The 20,095-nt window shown below is 40.5% G+C and overlaps 1 long non-coding RNA gene and 1 pseudogene across 1 annotated transcript; one reads left to right on the top strand and one right to left on the bottom strand.

Moving 5' to 3' along the window:
* The first annotated feature begins 1,262 nt into the window (after positions 1-1,262).
* FAM41AY2 (family with sequence similarity 41 member A, Y-linked 2) lies at positions 1,263-17,039 on the top strand. The gene is made up of 10 exons (NR_028084.1): positions 1,263-1,420; positions 2,016-2,065; positions 13,395-13,523; positions 13,771-13,864; positions 14,458-14,628; positions 14,738-14,831; positions 15,106-15,315; positions 15,609-15,796; positions 16,009-16,230; positions 16,313-17,039. It is a non-coding gene; the product is annotated as a family with sequence similarity 41 member A, Y-linked 2 (long non-coding RNA).
* On the bottom strand, positions 16,893-19,728 carry TUBB1P1 (tubulin beta 1 class VI pseudogene 1; annotated as a pseudogene).

The following is a 20,095-nucleotide window of genomic DNA, read 5'->3' as shown; positions in this document are numbered from 1 at the left end:
AATGCCCACTTCTTGGCAACAGACACATTTTTTGCTTTGTGACACCCACCAACCAAACCTGAAATATAACTTTAACCTTAATCCTGATTATAACTGCACATTTATGATTTTTTTAAATACAAATACACTTGTTGTTATGATGGTAGCTTTTCTTCCCATAAACCTATATTTCTTAGTGCAGAGCAACAGCTCAGCCTGTTTGGGTTTGGCATGGTGTGTCCCCATGCATTGTTTTTGATTCTGTAACAAAAAAATATTCCAGTTGGCTTCATTTTGGACACCCTCACTCTCTGACTTCTACTCTCTGCAAATACAATTCTGCTTGAACTCTCTGACTGGATCCAGTCTATCATTAGCTGCCATAAATACAACCTCAATACTCAATCTTTGTTTTTTCTTAGCTCTTTATTTGTTCATTTAATTGCCTTATTTAAAGTTTCTCTATTTCTTCTTTTGAAACTTTCCTTGGTCACTGCTCACAGAAAAAAAAAATAAAGCTCTCGACTAAGAATCCTACACCTAGCATATTTATGTATCAAAAATTGAGGATTGCTTGAGTTCAGGAGTTCAAGACAGACCTGGGCAACACAATGAGACCTCATCTCTGCTAAAAATAATATATATATATATATATTAGCCAGGTGTGGTGGTGTGCACCAGTAGTCTCTCGGCTACTTGGGAGGCTGAGGTGAGAGAATTGCTCGAGCTCAGGAGATCTAGGCTACAGTGAGCTGTGATTGTGCCACTGAACTCCAGCCTGAGTGAGAGTTAGGTCTTGTCTCAAACAAAGAAACAAAACAACAACAACACCAATACAGAACCTTAGGGAATCTAATAAAAAAGTAGTTTGGGTCAATCTTTGCTATTTTAAATTCCTGTTTTTTCCATACATTCTAATGCAAGGTAAATGAAAGCACTGGTGAGACCCAGCCTGGAGGGGCTTGCCCTAAGCTTAGTGTTTGTTATCTCTGGGCAACCCCTACAAAATTTCCAGAGACATCTGGTGTGTGGAATAAGCCAATGTCAGCATCTCAGAAAAGGTTTTCACTTTAGGCCTTCCTGAATCAAGAGCCTAAGAGTATTGGGATCTACCAGGAGCATATTGTGCTCTGTTAAACATTTTCCATGAGTGACCTGGGCACAGGGTTGTCTCTAGGATGTAGGTGCTTGGTTACCAGAGTTCTAAGTTCTGTTGGGGTCTGTCACAAAGGAAGTAAGATCACTTTTTCAAAGTTTCATCCTCTGGCTCCTTGCTTTCCTCCATAAAACCCATCTAAAATGACCTTCTGGGCTACTGACTGCTCACTATCCCTGCGTGTCAACTCTTTAGCTGTGCACAATTATGCAAGAACAGCCCTCCTCACTTCCCTGAAAAGACCTGAATGAAGCCAGGGTCTCAGGTTTGAGGTCATAGATCTGGGTAAGAACCTAGTATTTCTTATTAGTTCTGTGACACTAGAAAAGTTATTGTAGGTTTTGGGGCCTTTCAACCTGTACAGTGGGTAATATGCCAGCATCTCCCTAGGGAACTCATCGGGTGTGTATGAGATAAGACCTGTAAAACTCATGGTGTGGCATCCCATGTAGACAATGCACGCATTTAGAGATAAAATAATTATAAGAAGGAATGGGAGGTAACATAGAATACAACACAAGCAGGCCTGTGTCCAGCACTGTGATATTGGAAAGTCGCTTCCCCTCTCAGCCTCATTTTTCATTCTACACTAGTAAGAATTTGAGGTGAAATGAAATTCACATGTTGTCATCCTCTGACATTATTCTTTTTAGAGCCTTCTCATTATATTCAGAATCAGACCCATGTCCCTCATTTTGGCCTATGTGGTTGGCAGACTATAGGAAGGCTCATAACACTAAGGGGTCTGCAGCTCACTTCTGACAAATGGAATGCAATAAATGTGATATGATAACATTTCTGTCTTAGATTGGCTGTTACAGCAAAGATAGAATGAGCCGCTTATCAACAGTACAATGTTCTTCAATGTTCTTTCTCACAGTTCTGGAGGACAGAAGTTGAAGATCAGAATGCCAGCATGGTCGAGCTCTAGTGAGAACTCTCTCTTCTGAGTTTCAGACTGTAGTCTTTACATTCTATATTTGCCTGACAGATAGTGGAGGATGGAGTTCTCTGGGTTTTTTGTTGTGTTTTGTTTTGTTTTGTTTATAGAGCCAGTAATACTGTTCCTGAGGCTTTCACCTCATTTTCTCCTCGTCTCTTTCTTCTGTGTTTTGTCCCTCAATCTATTTCTCTCATTCTTCTACTTACTCTGCCCATTGTTTTCTCTCCCATTTTCTGCCAATGTCTTTCTCTTTCTCTTTCAATGTGTATTTATTTCCCTGTCTTTCTACTGCATCCCTCAAGTTCAGAAAACAAGATCCAGAGTTATGAGCTGCCTATGCAGTGGCCTACACAACAGAGAATGAGGGAGTGCCCAGGCCCCAGGAAACACTCAGGCTCTCAGTCTACACTGAATCTGGACAATACCCATATGAGTGTGCTTGGAATCTAATCCTCTCACAGCTCAGCTTCAGCTGAGAGCACAGCCCCAGCTTCATGGAGCCCCATGTGCAGGCAACCAGCAAAGCTGTGTCCAGATTCTGGTCCACATAAATTGTGAGATAGTAAGAATTTGTTGTTAAAGATGCTAAGTTTGGGGAGAATGTTGTCAGAGAGAAGCAGATCACTGTCTTATTCTTCTAGGTCCCAGAGTCCTCCTTCCCTCTCCTTTTCTCTTCCCCAGGCTCCCTCTAGCCCTGCCGGCCTCTTTCTCTCATCCTCTGCCAAAGTCACTTCTGCCTGCATTTCTCTGCACCAGGAGTGGCATCTCACTGACACTGTATCCCCAGAGTTGTGCAGGGCTGGTCATCTGTTGCCACAGAGAGGCATTTGGGTCCCTAGAATGCTATGGCTCCCCGCCCTGCCTTTCAACATCCTACTTTATTTTAATTATAGCATTTACTCTTCATTTACTTGTACTTGCTTTAGGGTTTTTGTCCATATATCCTCAGACTGCAGGCTTCTTGAGTTGGGGAAAGGGCCACTCAATCATTTCTCAGCACCACATGCTGGGCCCATCATGGCACTTAGCACAGATTTAGTTCTGTGACAGGGTCGCTGAGTGAATAAATGAGGAAATGTCTAACCTCCTTGTCTGCTTCTGATCACCTCATAATGGTATATTTATTTCTTTTAAGAAAAACAATAATTATAGTTGATAGTAAAATATAAATGGCAAAATTAGTATAATTTCTGAAGTCTTCTGTTCAGTATTTGTGATAGCTTTTATTATGTAATTATCCCTATTATTATTTTATGTTTTATAACTTTTACATAAATATTGATCTTCAGAAAAACCTGTTTTAACTGAGTTGTGACAAAAAATTTTATATTCTATCTACAAATCTTCTATAGTTTAATAATTGTATTATTGTTTTTATGAATGATTTTGACCCTGATATTTTGGAAAGAGGAATTCTACAAGTTTCCTAGCAGGTCAGGCCAATCACATTTTGTCATCCAGGATTTAGCATCTGATGTTCCATCTAACAGGTGTACAAGTTGATATGTCAAGTAACCCTAAGCCATATGTGCCCTAAATAATTCTAAATTATTTGATGAATATTTAATTTTCTTGTTTAGTTTTTAAAAATCGTTAATTATAACTTGTTAGTTCATGTGCAACTCTGAACTCATGCACTAGATTTGAATTCTGCAGTTGCTTACCAATCTGGGTCATGGGAAAGGTGGATACTTAGGTGAAACAAACAATTTGGGAATGTGTGACAGCTCAGAAAATAATTTCATATTAAAAAACTAGAAGGAGAAGTCAATAGTTGGGCAAAAGATGAGATATTAGAATCATAAGGGGCAGGAGGGAGAGCAACATGCAAGGAGGCAACAGAAGGACAAGGAGGAGACACATTTACTAAAAAATGTGTCTGGTTTTTGTTGCTTCTGATTGTAAATTTTTCATCTTTAGACATCTTTAGCAATAGAATATTTTCGTGGAGCAATGTCTCATTCATAATTATGTGTACAGTCTTCTTGGCTCATTATATGTACCAACTAGAAATACTTCCCATTGGACCTGAAGATTCTTTGTCTTTCTAAAGTGCCTCTCAAAGGAAGAATGTTTGTCTCGTCAACATTCATTAATGTGGTCATTAAAGGTTCAAATAATCATTGAACTAATGGTATTCAGAGAAATAAGTGTAAGAATTGTAATTAAAGTATATATAAGTACCAATACTTTTATCCTAAAATGAAGAGTATTTGGAGAACAGTTTGTGTGTAATCCTGTGCACCTAATGTCTCAGCCCTAATCCAATGGTTGGCCATAACTTAAAGCAGAAAAATGCCTATGACTCCAGTGGGTATAAAACAAGAGAAAACATGCTGTATGGATTAAAGATGTTTTCTTAAGATGAAAAAAAGTGAAAGGAAAATGTAACCAGTTTCACAGTAACTGACAGCAACGTTTATCCAAATTAATGCTGATCAAGGGAAAACCACTAACTGTTCTCTCTGTGAGGTTGGCTGAAACAATAGGCACAAAGGTCCTATGCCTATGGTCTACCCTCAGATTGTTCTTAAAAAAAATGACTTTACACATTATAATACATGACAGTAACACAAGGATAGCACAATGGGATGAAGATGGCCTGATTCTACCAAGAATGTCAACGAAATAGGGTCTACAAAATCTAGGTACCAAACTGATAATAAATAGCTGCAGAACCCAACAGAAAGAGAACAGAGTTCAGCTCTTGTGATGACTTAGCACATAATCATGCACTTGAAAAGTCAGGAAAAGCAAGGGAAAGGCGACCTTCATGGGTGGTGCACATAGTCAAGGCTGCCACCTATGGCAGTGGGTAGTTCAGAATATATTTCAGTGGAATCTTCATGTGACCATGAAAATTAGCAGACCACCTGAGGTAAGTGCCTTATTCAAATATACCATTTTTTAAATCTTTTATAACATAAATTTGCTGTGCCTTTTATGTTTATGTATACAAATGTTGACTATAGTGTTACAATTGCTTACAGTATTCAGCATAGTAACATGCTGTCCAGGTTTGTAGTTTAGGAGCAATAGGCTATACCATATAGTCTAGGTCTCCAATGGGCTATACCACCTAGGTTTGTGTAAGTACATTCTATGATGTTCACACAGTAATAATACTACACAATGGTGCATTTCTCAATATATATCCTCATTATTAAAAATGCATGGTTGTATAAAAAATAAAATGGATGTTGAAAGAGTGAAGTTGCTATGTATTGTTTCATAACATGTAACCCCAAAACTTTATGGCATAAAATCACAATATTTATTACCTGAATTTCTGTAGATGAGAAATTCAAGAACAATTATCCTGGTGGTTGTGCCCCAGGCCATCTCATGTGGTTACAGTCAGATTTCAATTGGGGCTGTCATCCAAACTCTTGACAGCAACTAGAAGATCCACTTTCAACTTTGCTAACATTCATGGCCTGCAAGTTGGTGGGGTTTTTAATTGAAGGTCTCAGGTTCTCTCCACATAGATATTTTTGTAGGGATGATTGACTGTTCTCACCAAATAGTGGCTGGTTTCTTTCAGAGAGAGTGGCTTAGGAAAAACAATGCATTAGTGGCAAAATCTTTTATGACCTAGACTCAGAAGTCACACATGGACACTTCTGTCACCTTCTATTCACCAGAAAGGATTTTTAAGCTTGACATACCTTCAAGAAGAAAAGAATTAGGGTCTATGAAAGGACTTCAATAAGTTTGTGAAAAAATGAAAGTAAAACACAAAAATAAAATATATAAACTTTATTTCTCAACATTAGCTTCATCAAGTCAAGTTCAAGACACTTTTATAAGCAATAATACCAGCCTTCAGTCTATCCCCACAAAAAGTAAGGTCCTGGGAATTTAACAATGTCAGGAAAGTCTCTTTTACATTATTAACTGTAGAAAATGGGTGTCTTTTAAAGCTGTTTTAAAATCAGAAGAGAAAAAGAAGTTGGAGGGAGCCAAATCAGGGTTAAAAGGTGGATGCTTAATAATTTTCCATGGCAAGTCCAGCAAAATTGTCCTTTGATTTTTTTTAATGAGAGGAAAGAGGAGGAACATTGTTGTGGTGGTGAAGAATTCTATGGTAAAATTTTCTGGAAATATTTCCCCTAACGCTTTGGGTAACTGTCTCAAAATACTCCATAATAGCATGTTTTATTGCATTATGTATTGTTTTGTTTTGTTTTTGGCCCTCTAGAAAGCCAACAGGCAAAATGCCTTGAGCACCCTGACACTGTTGCTATGAGCTTTGTTCTAGACCAGTAACCTTTTGCTGAGACTGGACCACTTTCACTTCTTGGTAGCCGTTGCTTTATTTCTGTTTTATGTTGAAAATTTCATGGAACAGCTGTGTTTGACTTCCTCACACAATTATTTGAAGAAATGCCTCAAGATCTTAATAACATTTATGTACAATTTCAGTTGAAAGCTCTGTTCTTGTCTGCAGCTGATCTAGGAACAAGAGTTTTCTAATCTATTGAGTGGAAAAATTCTCAAAATTGTGTGAATTTAAGAGATGGCCATGGTGTTGACTGTTGTTTATACCGTTGTCATTCCTAAACTGTTGTTTATACCGTTGTCACTCCTAAAGCACGGCATGAACAAGATTAATTTCTTTTCTGGTGAGTTAATGTGAATTGTCTTCCACTGTGGGCTTTATCTTCAACACCTAATCATCCCTTCTTAAAATGAGTTATTCATTTGTATGCTTGTGAATGTCGGGGGGCATTGTCCCCATAAATTGTTATAAAGAATTAGTTATTTTACTATTCTTTCACCCAAAATGGCCATAAATTTGATGTTTTTTCTTGCTTTAATTTTAGTAGAATTCATGCTGCTCTAATACGATCTCTTTTCAAATTGGTGTCTTAGTTTCCTTATTATAATTCCCCAAATTAGATCCTGTTCAGACATGTTATAACAAAGTTAGTAAAAGTTTATTTAGTTGCAAAATATTTTTGAAGTCTATGCAGAATTTATTCTCAATATGCATTTCTCATGAACTTTTTGAAGATCCTTCATACTTTTTGAAGAGTTTCAAATAATTTTTGAATGTATATTTAAACTATTACAAGAAAATTATCTATAGAACCAAATTTCAGATTTATCAAGTTTGTGATAGGTATAATAACCAATGGAAATATCAAATGGGCAGCTTAGCTATTGAAATAGAATTAGAGTTAAATGATTATAGAAGTATTCAGTAAAGACCTGCAGGTATTGAAAAGCATTAAAAATTTTGAAATAAAATAACAGGATTATATGTACCATTTAAGAGGAGAGATATCAGGAAAAAATAAGAACAGGGAGAAGAACCTATAATAGCAAATGTTATGTAAAATTTAAGGATAGTGAAGCCATTGCTGTTCTTCTCCATAGCAGCGTTGACATCTCTTTGTTAACAGTATCACTGAAACTCCTGCTTCCATTTCCAAAATCCTGTCTTTCTGAAGCAGAGTTTTTTTCCAGTGACAGCAATCAAAACAAAATTATGAAGTAGACTGGACATAAGCACCACATTTTGAGTGTCACAGTCTCCCATCACCGTCAAATGGAACTGACTAGTTGCAAGAAAACTAGCTCAGGGCTCTCACTGATTCTACATTACAGTGAGTTGTATAATTATTTCATTATATATTACAATGCAATATAATAAAGTATGAAATAAATGTAATGTGCTTGAGTCATCCTGAAACTGTCCCCCTGCCCAGTCCATGGATAAGTTGTCTTCCACGAAACTAGTCCCTAGTGCTGAAAAGACTGGGGAGTGCTGCAATATAGAAAGAAAAATTTAAAGAGAGGAAAACACAAAATCTATAACAGCTTTAATAATATATGCACTAATGCTGTACAGAATACACTAATTTCATTCATTTATTTAAGTATCAACCAATACATACAGACCAGTACAAATGCCTGTAATTGTTTTAGGAGAACATTGAATGAAACAGCAAGAGAGAAAGATAGCAAATTAAAAATATACGTGTATGATTATCAGAGAAAGACCCCCATCTCTATAAACAAAAATCTACATGTGCACGTCAAGTTGTAATGAGTACTAAGAACAAAAAAGAAGAATGAGAGAAGAAAGAGACAGATACATTAATTCATGTAGAATGATCAAGGAAGTTTGTCTGGGATTACAGTGGTTAACATTGCAGGTTTTAGAGTCAGACAGATGCCAGTTTTTATCCTGGCTCTGTGTCTCGTAGCTGGGTGTCCCATGGACAATTTATTCCACTTTTAAATCTCAGTTTTCAAATTTCTAATTTCTAAATGTTTATTAGAAATAAAAGCACATGAACAAACTAAACATACATAAAGAATCAAGCACAGAAAACTGATGAGGGTGTATAATGAATCAAGAATAATGGTTATAAAAATGGAGATAATAAATTTGTCAAACTTATTAGACAATTCTGAAGATTAGAAGATGAATATACATAAAGAATTTTGCATGTCATGTGGCATAACACTCATGGTAACTACAATTATTATCCTCATATTACTAAAGGAAAATATGTGTCGTTCTTGGGCATTAAAAAAGCTGTGGGCCGTACTTTTTCAAATTATGCAAACACATAAAGATTCATTTTTATGTTAAACAGTTCTTCCTTTAACATTTTTAAAAGAGATTTCTTGAAAGCATATGTCAAAAATCTCATGTAATGCTTTCTGCTTCTTAACCAAAGTTTAGAGAAACTTAACAATGAAACTTTTAAAATGTAGTTACATTACATAAACTATTTAAGGCAAGAATAAGCACAACAGCTTTAACTTCTTAAATATGCTTAAGCATTTCAACTAAAAAATTATTTCTTTCAAATTCACAGGAATCTGTTTAGAAAAATTTTAACTAGGAAAAGTTGGAATTCTAAAGTAAACAGTGCCTAAGGCCATAAAGTTTTTTATGGCTTTTAATTTCAATGTCAACGAGGGGGAAAAAAACATTCTCTGAAATTTGCTTTTATTCCATTAAAGACTTATTTTTTTATTACCAGCAATACAGAGTGACTCAGGTTGAATCTTGAAGGTAAACTGTAACTTAATTTTAAGTTTTGGCTAATTTTTAAGGATTTCTCAGTCACCTATCATGATTTCATCTCAGAAACCAAGATCTCAATTTCATATAGACATTTGGAATATTAAAATAGAAGGATAATGCTTCAAAATAATATTCATGTAGAGGCTTGCATATGTGGACCAGGAATCTTCATGTATTACAAAGTTTATGAGAACATAACAAATGCTGATACACACATTTAAGTCTGAAACAAAAATTTACAACAAACAAAATTGTAACAAATCAAGAAAATTCTGTGGGTTACACATTTTATGTCTAAAAATACAGGTATTAAACACTCAAGGATGGATAGAAGAATAAATCACAAGAGAAAACAGAAAATATCTAGAGACAAATTAAAAATATGAAATACCAAAAGTTAAGACATACATCAAAAGCAGTAGCATAAGAGAAAAATTTATAGTTATAAATGATTATAAAAAGTAAGATATCAAATCAACAACTTAACTATATAGCTAATGAACTAAAAACAGAGGGAAAAAGAGGGAACAACTAAAAGCTAGCAAAATAAAAAATGATAAAGATAGCAGTGGAAATAAGTGAAAGAGAATAGAAAAATATCAAAATACAACAAAACCAAGTTTGTTCTCTGAAAAAGTTCAACAAAACTGACAAACCTTTAACTAGATTGACTAAGAAAAAAAGAATACTCAAATTACAAAACTCAAAAATAAAATGGATTCATTACTACCAAATTTTTGGAGTAAAAAAAGAATGTAGGAGGGTACCATAAGAAACTGTACACTTAAAAATTGAATAACATAAATAAAACGAACAAATTCCTAGAAACAAAAAACCCACTAAGACTGAATATGAAAAGTTGAATAAACCTATTCAGAAAGGAGATTCCGCAAGAAGACTGCATCAGTAATCAAAAACCCAGCAACAAAGAAAAGCCTGGACCAGACGGCTTCACTGTTGAATTCTACCCAACATTTAATGCAGAATTAACACCAGTTTTTCTCAAGCTTTTTCAAAACGTTGAAGAGGAGGTAACATTTTCTAACTTATTCTATGAGGCTAGAATTACCCTGACACCAAGCCAGAAAAAGACACTATAAGAAAACTACAAACATCCCTTACAAATGCTGATTCAAAAATCCTCAACAAAATACCAGCAATTGAAATTTATCAGTACATTAAAAGGATTACACACTATGAATGAGTATAGTTGACTCCTGAAATAAAATTATGTTCCAACACATGAAAATCAGTTTAATATCACATTAACATAAAGAAGGAAAAAACCCTCATGTGATCATTTTAATCAAATAAAAGAATTTGTCAAAATTTAACCCACAATCATAAAAATATACTTAATAAGCTATAAAAATAAATAAAATATCGATGTAATGTTATATTAAAAAATGCACACACACACACACACACACACACACACACACACACAGCTAACCTTATGGTGAAAGACTGACAGATTTTACTCTAAGAGCAAAAACAAGGATGCCTGTTTTCACTACTTCTATTTAATATAGTACTGAAGATTCTAATTAGTTAAAACAAAAAGGCAAGTAAAAGAGTGAAAGATATTCCAATTTTTGAAAAAGTAAAATTATCTGTTCGCAGATGACATAATCTTATATGTTAAAAATCTTCTAGTTTCTGTGAGTTAAACTGTCAGATGCAGTAAATAAAATTCAGCAAAACTGCAGGATAGAAAATCAATACACACAAATTAGTTGTATTTCTGCAATAATAATAAACTATGTGAAGAAGAAATCAAGACAACAGTATAATTTATGATAGCATCAAAACAATAACATATTAGGAACAAACTTAACCAAGGAAATGAAAAACCTGTACAGCAAAAACTATAAACATTGCAGAAAAATATTAAAGATGATACAAATAAATGAAAAGACGTCATGTGTTTATTATGGATTGGAAGACAAAACCTTGTCAAGATGCCATTGTTATCAATAGTCATCCATGAATTCAATAAAATCACTATAAAAATTCCAATATTTGCAAAAATAGAAAAACCTGTTCTAAAATTCAGATGAGATTTCAAAAAACCCCAAGTAGCCAAATCAATCTTAAAAACTAACAAAATTAGAGGACTAACACCTCCTGGTTTCAAACTTACTGCAACGCTTCAGTACCCAAGACAATGTTGTACCGGCATAGAGACAGACAGAAAGACCAATGCAATAGAAATAAAGAACCAAAACATATGGTCATGATTTTTAACAAGGTAGTCAAAACTATTCAATGGGAAAGGACAGTATTTTAAAAACGGTGTTAACAAATGAATATTTACATGAAAAACAACGAAGTTCAACCCTTACTTTACACCACATAAAAAACTTAATTTAAAATAGACCAAACATCTAATTGTAAGTGCTGAAACTATAAAACCCTTAGAAAAAAACATAGGAAAAGAGTTTCATAACATAGAATCTGGCAATAATTTCTTGGATATGTCAGTGAAAGCATAGACAACAACAAAAACAACAATACACAAAAATAACTTCATCATAGTGAAAAGCTTTTGTGTATCTGAGATACAATCAATAGATTGAAAATACAATTCACGGAGGGGGAGAAAATATTCACACATTTATGTATTTCACAAGTAATTAATATCCAGGCTATATAAAGACCTCAGAAACAACAACAAAACAATCAAATTTAAACATGAGCAAAGGTTTTAAAATACACATTTCTTTAAAGAAGATATACAAATGACCAGTAAGCACAGTATAAGGAGCCCAGCATCAGTAATCATGAGAAAAAAGTAAATCCAAACCACAATGTCATACCAACTGACACATGTAAGTATAGCTACCATCAAAAAAACCACCAGCAGCAAACTAAAACAAACAACAAAGCTCCAGAAAGCAGCAAATGCTGGATGTGGAGAAGTCAGGACTCCTGCACTCTGCTGGTGGGAAAGTAAGATGGCACAGCCACTGTGGAAAACAGTAATCACTATGTGATCCAGTAATTCGACATCTGGGCCTATACCCCAGAAAACTGAAAGTGGGAATTTGAACACCCATGTTCGTAGCAGCATTCAGAATAGCCAAAGGGTAGAAAAAGCCCAAAGGTCCATCTACAGATGAATGGATAAGCAAATGTGAGCCATACACACAATGACATATTATTCAGCATTAAAAAGAAAAGAAATTTTAATACATCCTACAACATAAACCTTGAAAAGATTAAAACAAAAAATGCAAATACTCCATGCTTTTCACTTTTATAACAAACCTACAACGGTTAAATTCATAGACACAGGAAGTGGGATGTGGTTTCCAGGGGATAGGGGGAAGGGAAACGGGAGCTATTGTTCTGTGGATACAGTGTTTCACTTTGGGATGATAAAACAGATTTGAAAATGGATAGCGGTGATAGTTGCACAGCAATGTATTTGTACCTAATGTACTTAAATTTTCTATTACACATATTTTACCACAGTAAAAAATTAGCAAATATTTAAAAATCTATGTGTTGCTTTGAACTGTTTCTTTACATCCCTTGTCCATTTTTCAATTTGACTGCTAGTCTTTTAATAATTTAGGATATATATATATTACGTAAATTAGCTTTTTGTCTGTCACGTATGTTGCAGATCTATTTCCACAGTCTATGAGTCATTTGAAGTATTTTTCTCTCATAGAAAGTTTGAATTTTTATGGAGTCAACTGCATCAGTCTTCTATTCAAAGACTTATTTATGGGTATAGTCTTTCAGTTTAGGACGATAAAGAAGTTGTAGATACGGATTAAGGAGATGGTTTTACAACACTGTGAATATACTGAACTGTGCATTTAAACATGGAAAAAATAGTAAGTTTTATGTTATATATATTTTACCACCAAAAAAGGGTCAGGCTTAGATGTTTATAGGTTAGGGGTTTGTTGTACCTTTAACATTTATTCCCCTCCAGGGCTTTACTTTATAAAACACCCACACAAGAAAAGTAGATACTGACTTCACAAATCTCATTACAAGTCCCACAGCAGAGGCTGCCTTGGAAAACAGAGGTGGAAAAAGTCACAGAAACTTGAGGTCAATGTGAGACCTCCCATCCCCTACTCAGAAATCAGATGAGGGAATGCATGCATGCAGGCTGAGCTGGATAGATGAGATGGGGTGGGCAGAACAGTCCTCCAATCAGCCTAGACCTTAAGTGCTCTCACGTGCTCTCAGGCATGTATCAAACCAAGAAAGCAGGCTAGGAGGATAACACATCTACCTTTATACAGGGAGCTATGAAATATCTGAGATGAGCAAGTGATTCACAAGGAGACAGAAGCAGTATGACCTTTACCCTGTGACCCGGTTCAATTATTTCAGGCTCTCATTAACCAGGCGAGCTCCTCTTTCTCTCAGAGGTAGGTAAACTTGAGGGGGTAAAGTAGGATTTGGGATTTGGGGATAATGGAAAAGAAAGCCTGGTAATATTTCTTCTATCTCTGTTTTAAATAAAAAGTAAAACATAAATGCCCTTTCTCAGGGCCCAAATGTTAGGCAAAAACAATGTTTGTCATCTCAGTACACACATGGTCATTTATTCTTTCCCTCTGCATGTTGTGCGCTTTTTCAGTTTATAATGTCCCTGATCCACTTGTCTCATACTAGCTGCAAACAAGGAAACTGAATGTCACACCAGGTGGCCAGCATTTCTGTGAAGGGCAGAAACCGGGGCAGCCAAACAGCTGGCAGAGGCCAGCTAGTAAGTACCTGATGCCCACTCCGTAGAGGACTCCACACTTAAAAGACCAAATAAGCAAGTGTCAGGCTGACTCACTTGTTATCCCCCCAAATAAAAAAATAAAAGTAACCCCTCCAGGGAAAGTGTGTGTGTACATGCCAAAGTACATGCACACAGTTACATGCAAAGGGGAAAGTCTGGGAAGGAAGAAAACCCACCCCTGAACACAAGTTACTTGTGGGGAAGGGGCAGGTGAAGCCAACTGTCAGCATTTCTTACCTTTTCAACAGATGAGCTTGCATGAATTTTGGTAATTTCTCATAAAAAGGCAATTTTCACTCCTTGGGTGATCACCCAGGTCTTTCAAAACTGAGCCACCAACAACCACCTGTACCACTTGACAGGAAGCCAAATAATGGCTTCCATCAAAGCTCAGCCCTCCCACCCACCTCCCAGTCCTGTCCCATGCAGGGGGGTACTGGACTGCTGGGGTCCAAGGGTCCAGGCCAAACCCAACCCACAGATTGTTGGTGAAACCAGCATTCATCCAAGGGCCTTTCCGCAACTTGGGCCATGTGCTCACTGCATAAGTATGCCTGTGCTTGTTCCCCTAGGACAAAGACTCCCTTTTCTTACAGCTGGAATGAGGGGTGGGGAGATTTCATGGTGTCCTGTACAGGTTGGATGTTAATCTGATGTGGTGCTCTTGGAGAAGCTTGCCTGAGTCAGGTGCTTTCTCATCCTGTGGTGTGTGCTTCCCCTTCAAGCTGCAGAAGTCCCTGAAGGTAAGTGCTAATGCAACCCCCATCTACTGGTGAGCAGAGGTCAGGTGATCTGCAGCCGTCCAAGCAGCTGCTAAGTGACCAACAGGCTGGATCTGCATCTCACTTGCAGAGGCCCTGCGTGGCTGCTGTGGCTGCCCTGAGACTCGTTCTGCCTCCTCTTCCCTCCACAGCTCTCCCAGCTTCTACCCACAGCTGTGCTCCAGGTGAGAAACACTTATGGATGCACCAGGGTGTAACTACTCAGACTTCTGCATGCAGAAGGGCCCCTGATCCATGCTGTTTCCATATCCAAGCCCAAACTTGTCTAGAGCTTCAGCAAATCCAAGCCCTCTGAATTCCCTGCAAGACCAAACTGAGCCCTACAACCGCCACTACACTGATTAGCTGCCAGCCCCTGCTCCCTCCTGGGCCCCTGTCTATAGTGTTCTGAAGTCCTACAAGAATGTTGAGTTCCTAAGCCAACTCTCACCCAAACAGGTAAACAACCAGGGGCCTCCAGGGGTAGAGAACCTAGCCAGACAGGTTCTGCTGCCTGTAGACTTGATGTCCTTCCCCCACAACATGCCATGCTTGCCAGGCTGGAAGGGGGTCTCCAGATACTTGGGAAATCTGGGCCTGTAGCTGGCATATGGAGAAGAGGCCTGGAAAAGCACTACTCCTGTCCATGAAGCCCCCAGATGGAACCAGGTAATTGGGAAATACATGGGTACCAAGCCTAATCCACATTCAGACCCGATGGGAACTGCAGCAGGGACTCGCCCTCTGTGCAACTCTGGGTGTACCACTTCAGAAGGACCATCTGATCCCATGTGTCATTGGAGATACTACATGTGGGCAGGTTCCAGTGGTTGCTTCAGCTGAACCTTCCCAACCAGGTCCACACAAAAACATTTCATATGGGGGCACACCTGGGTGGGCAAGCACACCCCTCAGAGAGTGAGAGCCACTGAGGAGGGCTGTCACAGAGGCCCCTTTTCCTGCTCTGAGAACAGGTTAAGGGAGTATGGGGGACCTCTGCCACCTCCTAGCTGCTTCCAGGAGCCACTTCTTTCAAGATGAGGCACTCTCCTGCTTGCCTGTTGCCATTTGGCTGCAAAAGGCCATTGCCAACATTCAATGAAGAAAAAGAAAGGGGCCTCACCTGTTTTCCCTGACACACCTGAGGCAGGTGGGTATGCCCAGGGTTCCTGCGGTAGAACCTGTACATCTGCCGACCCCCAGGCTATGCTGGCTTCATTTTATCTGTGTGATGAGGGTGGGGTGGGAATTACCAAGAGGTAATTACACAGGCCACCGACAAATTCTACAAGAGCTAGGTAGAAAAGCACTGTCTTGTCAGGCTGCCCAGCACCCAGCTCACACACACACATCTCTTGACAGCTTCCCCAAAGCAGGCTTTGAAGTCCAGGCTCCCCAGGAAGCCTGGGGTGGAGACTCTGCCAGGCTAAAGGACCTATCCCCAAAGGTGACACCCTCACCAGTCTCATCCTGACAATCTTGGATTATTTTTGCCCTGAAGTTTTGAAGTGGGAGACAGAGAGACAGCAGACAGTGTGTATTAACCACCTTTCCAGAGAGCATCAGCCCTCCAGACTGGGGCAGGTAAGACCTCCACTTGTGTGTTTTTCTCACTGATTGCCAGATGGGGGAAACAGCACTTGTGAGCATCTGCCTGTCTCCCCAGGTCCTGTTCAGAAACCCCATCTTTGCCTTTGGAGAGACTGCCCCGAGCACACAGGCCCAGCAACCACCATCTATGGCCCCCAGGACCTAATAACCTTCTACATAGGGTTCAGTGCATGTGAGCAGACACTGGACTTGATTCCTGCCCAACAGTCCCTGCCAGATACCCCATGCCCACCTCATTAAGAGAATGAAGACACACGTTCACACCCAGTCCATCATGGTGATAGAGTGGCTGGGGTCCTACTTTGCCACCCTTCAATGCTGGTTCATAATCAGCTGTCTGACCACGTTCCTACCCTGAGGTAGGACTTTGGGACATTGTCCACCAGGGTCACTGACCACTTTTAAAGTTCCAGAAACAGAGGGCCAGCTATTCCCCTGGAAGTTTGCTACATGGGATAAGCCAAGGCTTGCCTTCAGGAACAGGTTTCCCATCACATAGCTGCCCAAGTCCCAGGGCATCCATACGTTCATGTGAATACTACTTGCCACATCCACAGCCCATGCCAACCCCTCCTGGAGCCAGCCGAATGCTTGTTACTGGGCATGTGATAAGCCCAGACAGCTTCAGCCTTGCAGGACAACTAAGGGCATCTAGCAGCAGTAGCCAGAGAGCCTAAAGAAAGAAGTTAGAGGTGAAACCAGATGTTATGAGAGTACTTTAGTAGGCAAAATCGCATACTATAAAAATGCTTTAAAATACATCAGGAGAAGATGAGAAGACACAAATGAACAATTGCGTAGTGACACAGGGCTGTCAGAACACAAAAAAGAATCCACATAGTTTCCATCCTTTCCCCAAGAAAAGGAAAGCTCTAGGCCACCTCCTCCTCAGCACACTCCTCAAACTCCTCCTCCTCAGCCTTGGCATCCTGGTACTGCTAATTTTCAGACACCAGGTCATTCATGTTGCTCTCAGCCTCAGTGAACTCCATCTCATCCAAGCCCTCGCCCGTGTACCAGTGGAGGAAGACCTTGCACTTGAACATTGCTGTAATCTCTTCTGAGACATGCTTGAAGATTTCCTGGATAACAATGCTGTTGCCCATGAAGGTGGCCAACATTTTTAGCCCCTGGGGTGGGATGTGACAGATGGCTGTTTTTACGTTGTGGGGGAGCCAGTCAGCAAAGTAGCTGCTGTTTTATTTTGAATGTTGAACATTTGTCCATCCACCTCCCTCATGGGCATGCAACCCCTGAAAATGGCAGCCACCATTAGGTAGCAGCCATGACAGGGGCAGCCATCATATTCTTAGCATAAAACATCTGCTGAGTAAGCTCAGCCACAGTCAGGGCCTGGTAATGCTGGCTGCCCCGGCTGGTCAGTGGGGCAAAGCCAGGCATGAAGAAATGCAGCCTGGGAAATGGGACCATGTTCACAGACAGCTTCTGTAGGTCAGCATTCAGCTGACCTGGGAAGCCCAGGCACATGGTGACCCCACTCATGGTAGCAGATAACAGGTGGTTCATGTCACCATAGGTAGGTGTGGGCAGTTTTAGGGTTCTGGAATAGATGTCATATAGAGCTTCATTATCTATGCAAAAGGTCTTATCTGCATTTTCTATGAGTTTCTATGGTGGACTGACAGGGTGGCATTGTAGAGTTCCACCATGGTGTCTGACACCTTGGGCGAGGACAGGATGCTGAATGTGTTTATGATCCTGTCTGAATACTCCTCCCAGATCTTACTAACGAGAAGGGTACCCATCCCAGATGCAGTTCCCCTACCCAGGGAGTGGGTCAGCTGGAAACCCTGCAGGCATTCACAGCTCTCACACTGCTTTCAGACAATGTCCATCGCTGACTCCATCAGCTCCGCACCTTCTGTATAGTGCCCCTTGGCCTTGTTTCAAGCCCCACACTGACCTGTATGACAGTACAGTCAGTCACTTGAGTGCCAGGTGTATGGTCATCAGTGGTCACCACCACAATGCAAAATGGACCAAGTGTCACATGTGAGGTGAAAGCACCATTCATCCTTCAGGTGGAGCAAATGAAACCCCGTACCGCAGAGTTACAGGACAGCAGCCTCCCCTTTTAGAAATTAAGTCAGGACTCAAAACTCAGACATGCTAAGAGACCTCGCTGTAGGTGGCTCCTACCTATTTTCAGGGAAGAGAGTAGCCACGGCCCCAGCTCAGCTCCCTGCAGGGAGTTTATAACACTAGCTCCTCACCTTGAGGAGACGCCTGGGGCTTCCTCCCGAAGCCCATTTAGGAGAGGCAGATTGAGCCATTGGGAGAATAGGAGGATGTTCAGGGGCCCTGGCTGCACAATTCCCACAGCTATGACCTTCAGGAACTACTAGATGAGCTGCTCCGGCTAAGGAGCCGCACCGCAGTCCTCACTCGCAGCTCACCAAAGATGAGGTTGTCGGCCTGAAGATGAGCCCGAAGGGCCCCGAGCGCAGAGAGTCCATGGTGACCGGCTCCAGGTCCACGAGCACAGCGCAGGGCACGTACCAGCCACCTGAGTGGGACAGGAGGGTATTAGCGAGGGGGAGGGCCGCCGTTCCCAGGATGGCGATCGGAGAAGGTCTGGGTTCTCACCGCTGGCCTCGTTGTAGTACACGTTGATGCGCTACAGCTGCAGGTTGCTCTCCCCGTGGTAGGTGCCAGCGGAGTCAATGGGATGTTCATCAGAGATCACCCCCCAGAACTACAAGAGATTGGGTGGGGTCAGACAGACCAGGGCTGAGTCACGGAGGCCAGGGAGCTGGAGGCGCCCCAGCCCCTCTCCTAGCTCCTCTACCACCCCCACCCTCATCCGCAACCACATCCCTAGGCTGCCGTGTCCCTGGGGTCCACCCCTGCCGACTAGTCAGCCTCCCAGTTCCACTGCGTCCCCGGCAGGGAGCCCAGGGGCTGCAATTCAGGGGCACCGCCCAAGCCACTGCCACTGCCAACATCTTCCCTGGCCACCCAGTAGGCCGGAGCTGGGACCTCAGAGCCCCGGATGCCAACCTTGGCACCGATCTTCTTCCCGCACTGCCGGGTCTGCGTGAGCGCAATCTCCCTCATGGCCAAGGCGGGATTAGGGCGGCAGGAGAAATGCGAGAAGGAAGAGCAGATGTGCAGCGACCCAGCCCGCCCTCTGCCAACATTTAAATAGACCCTCGCCCGCCTCCCTCAACCTCGGATTGGGCTCCCAGAATAAGCAACAGCTTTACTTCCACACAGGTGTACCCACCTGTGAGTCCCTTGGAGCTGAACGTCTGCTGGGGAGCTCAGGTGGCCTTGCTGTGGTCCTTTCCACGTTGGGGAAAGCTGGTCAGCTGGAGAACTTCCTCCCTCGTCTTTACTAAGATTAAATCCCTAGCTGACATGAAACTGAATTTTCCTCCCATGTGGGAGGGGAAGCCTCTTATTTCGGTATTCACAGAGTGCCTTGCACCTATCCTAGACTGATGACATATTTTTGTACTTGATGAGTCTTTTCATCTATTGGGAGATCTGTGGTAGGAAAGGCCTTCCATATGTAAACACAACAAGACTTAATGGTAAGTTTTACTTTGGAGCAGTTCAAACCCTCAGTAAGTTATGGGTGTTAGAGATATTAGGCATTTGATTTAGCATGAGTCTTCTTTAGAGTAGGATTAGCCCTTTCACCTTTCCAGAGGACTGCGGTCTTTACGCAGAGTGAAAGTAATACTGGATTCCTAAAGCTGAGGATAGGTGTTGGGATACACTGAAAATGGACCATTGTCACTTTGCAGGCTTTTAGATTACTCAGACTGATAAGTTATTTCTTCTGGCAACGATCTAACCAGTGAAGGTATCA

This window comes from Homo sapiens, chromosome Y (genome assembly GCF_000001405.40).
Source record: "Homo sapiens chromosome Y, GRCh38.p14 Primary Assembly".
Classification (NCBI taxonomy): Eukaryota; Metazoa; Chordata; class Mammalia; order Primates; family Hominidae; genus Homo; species Homo sapiens.
This window is presented reverse-complemented; position numbering and strand designations above follow the sequence as displayed.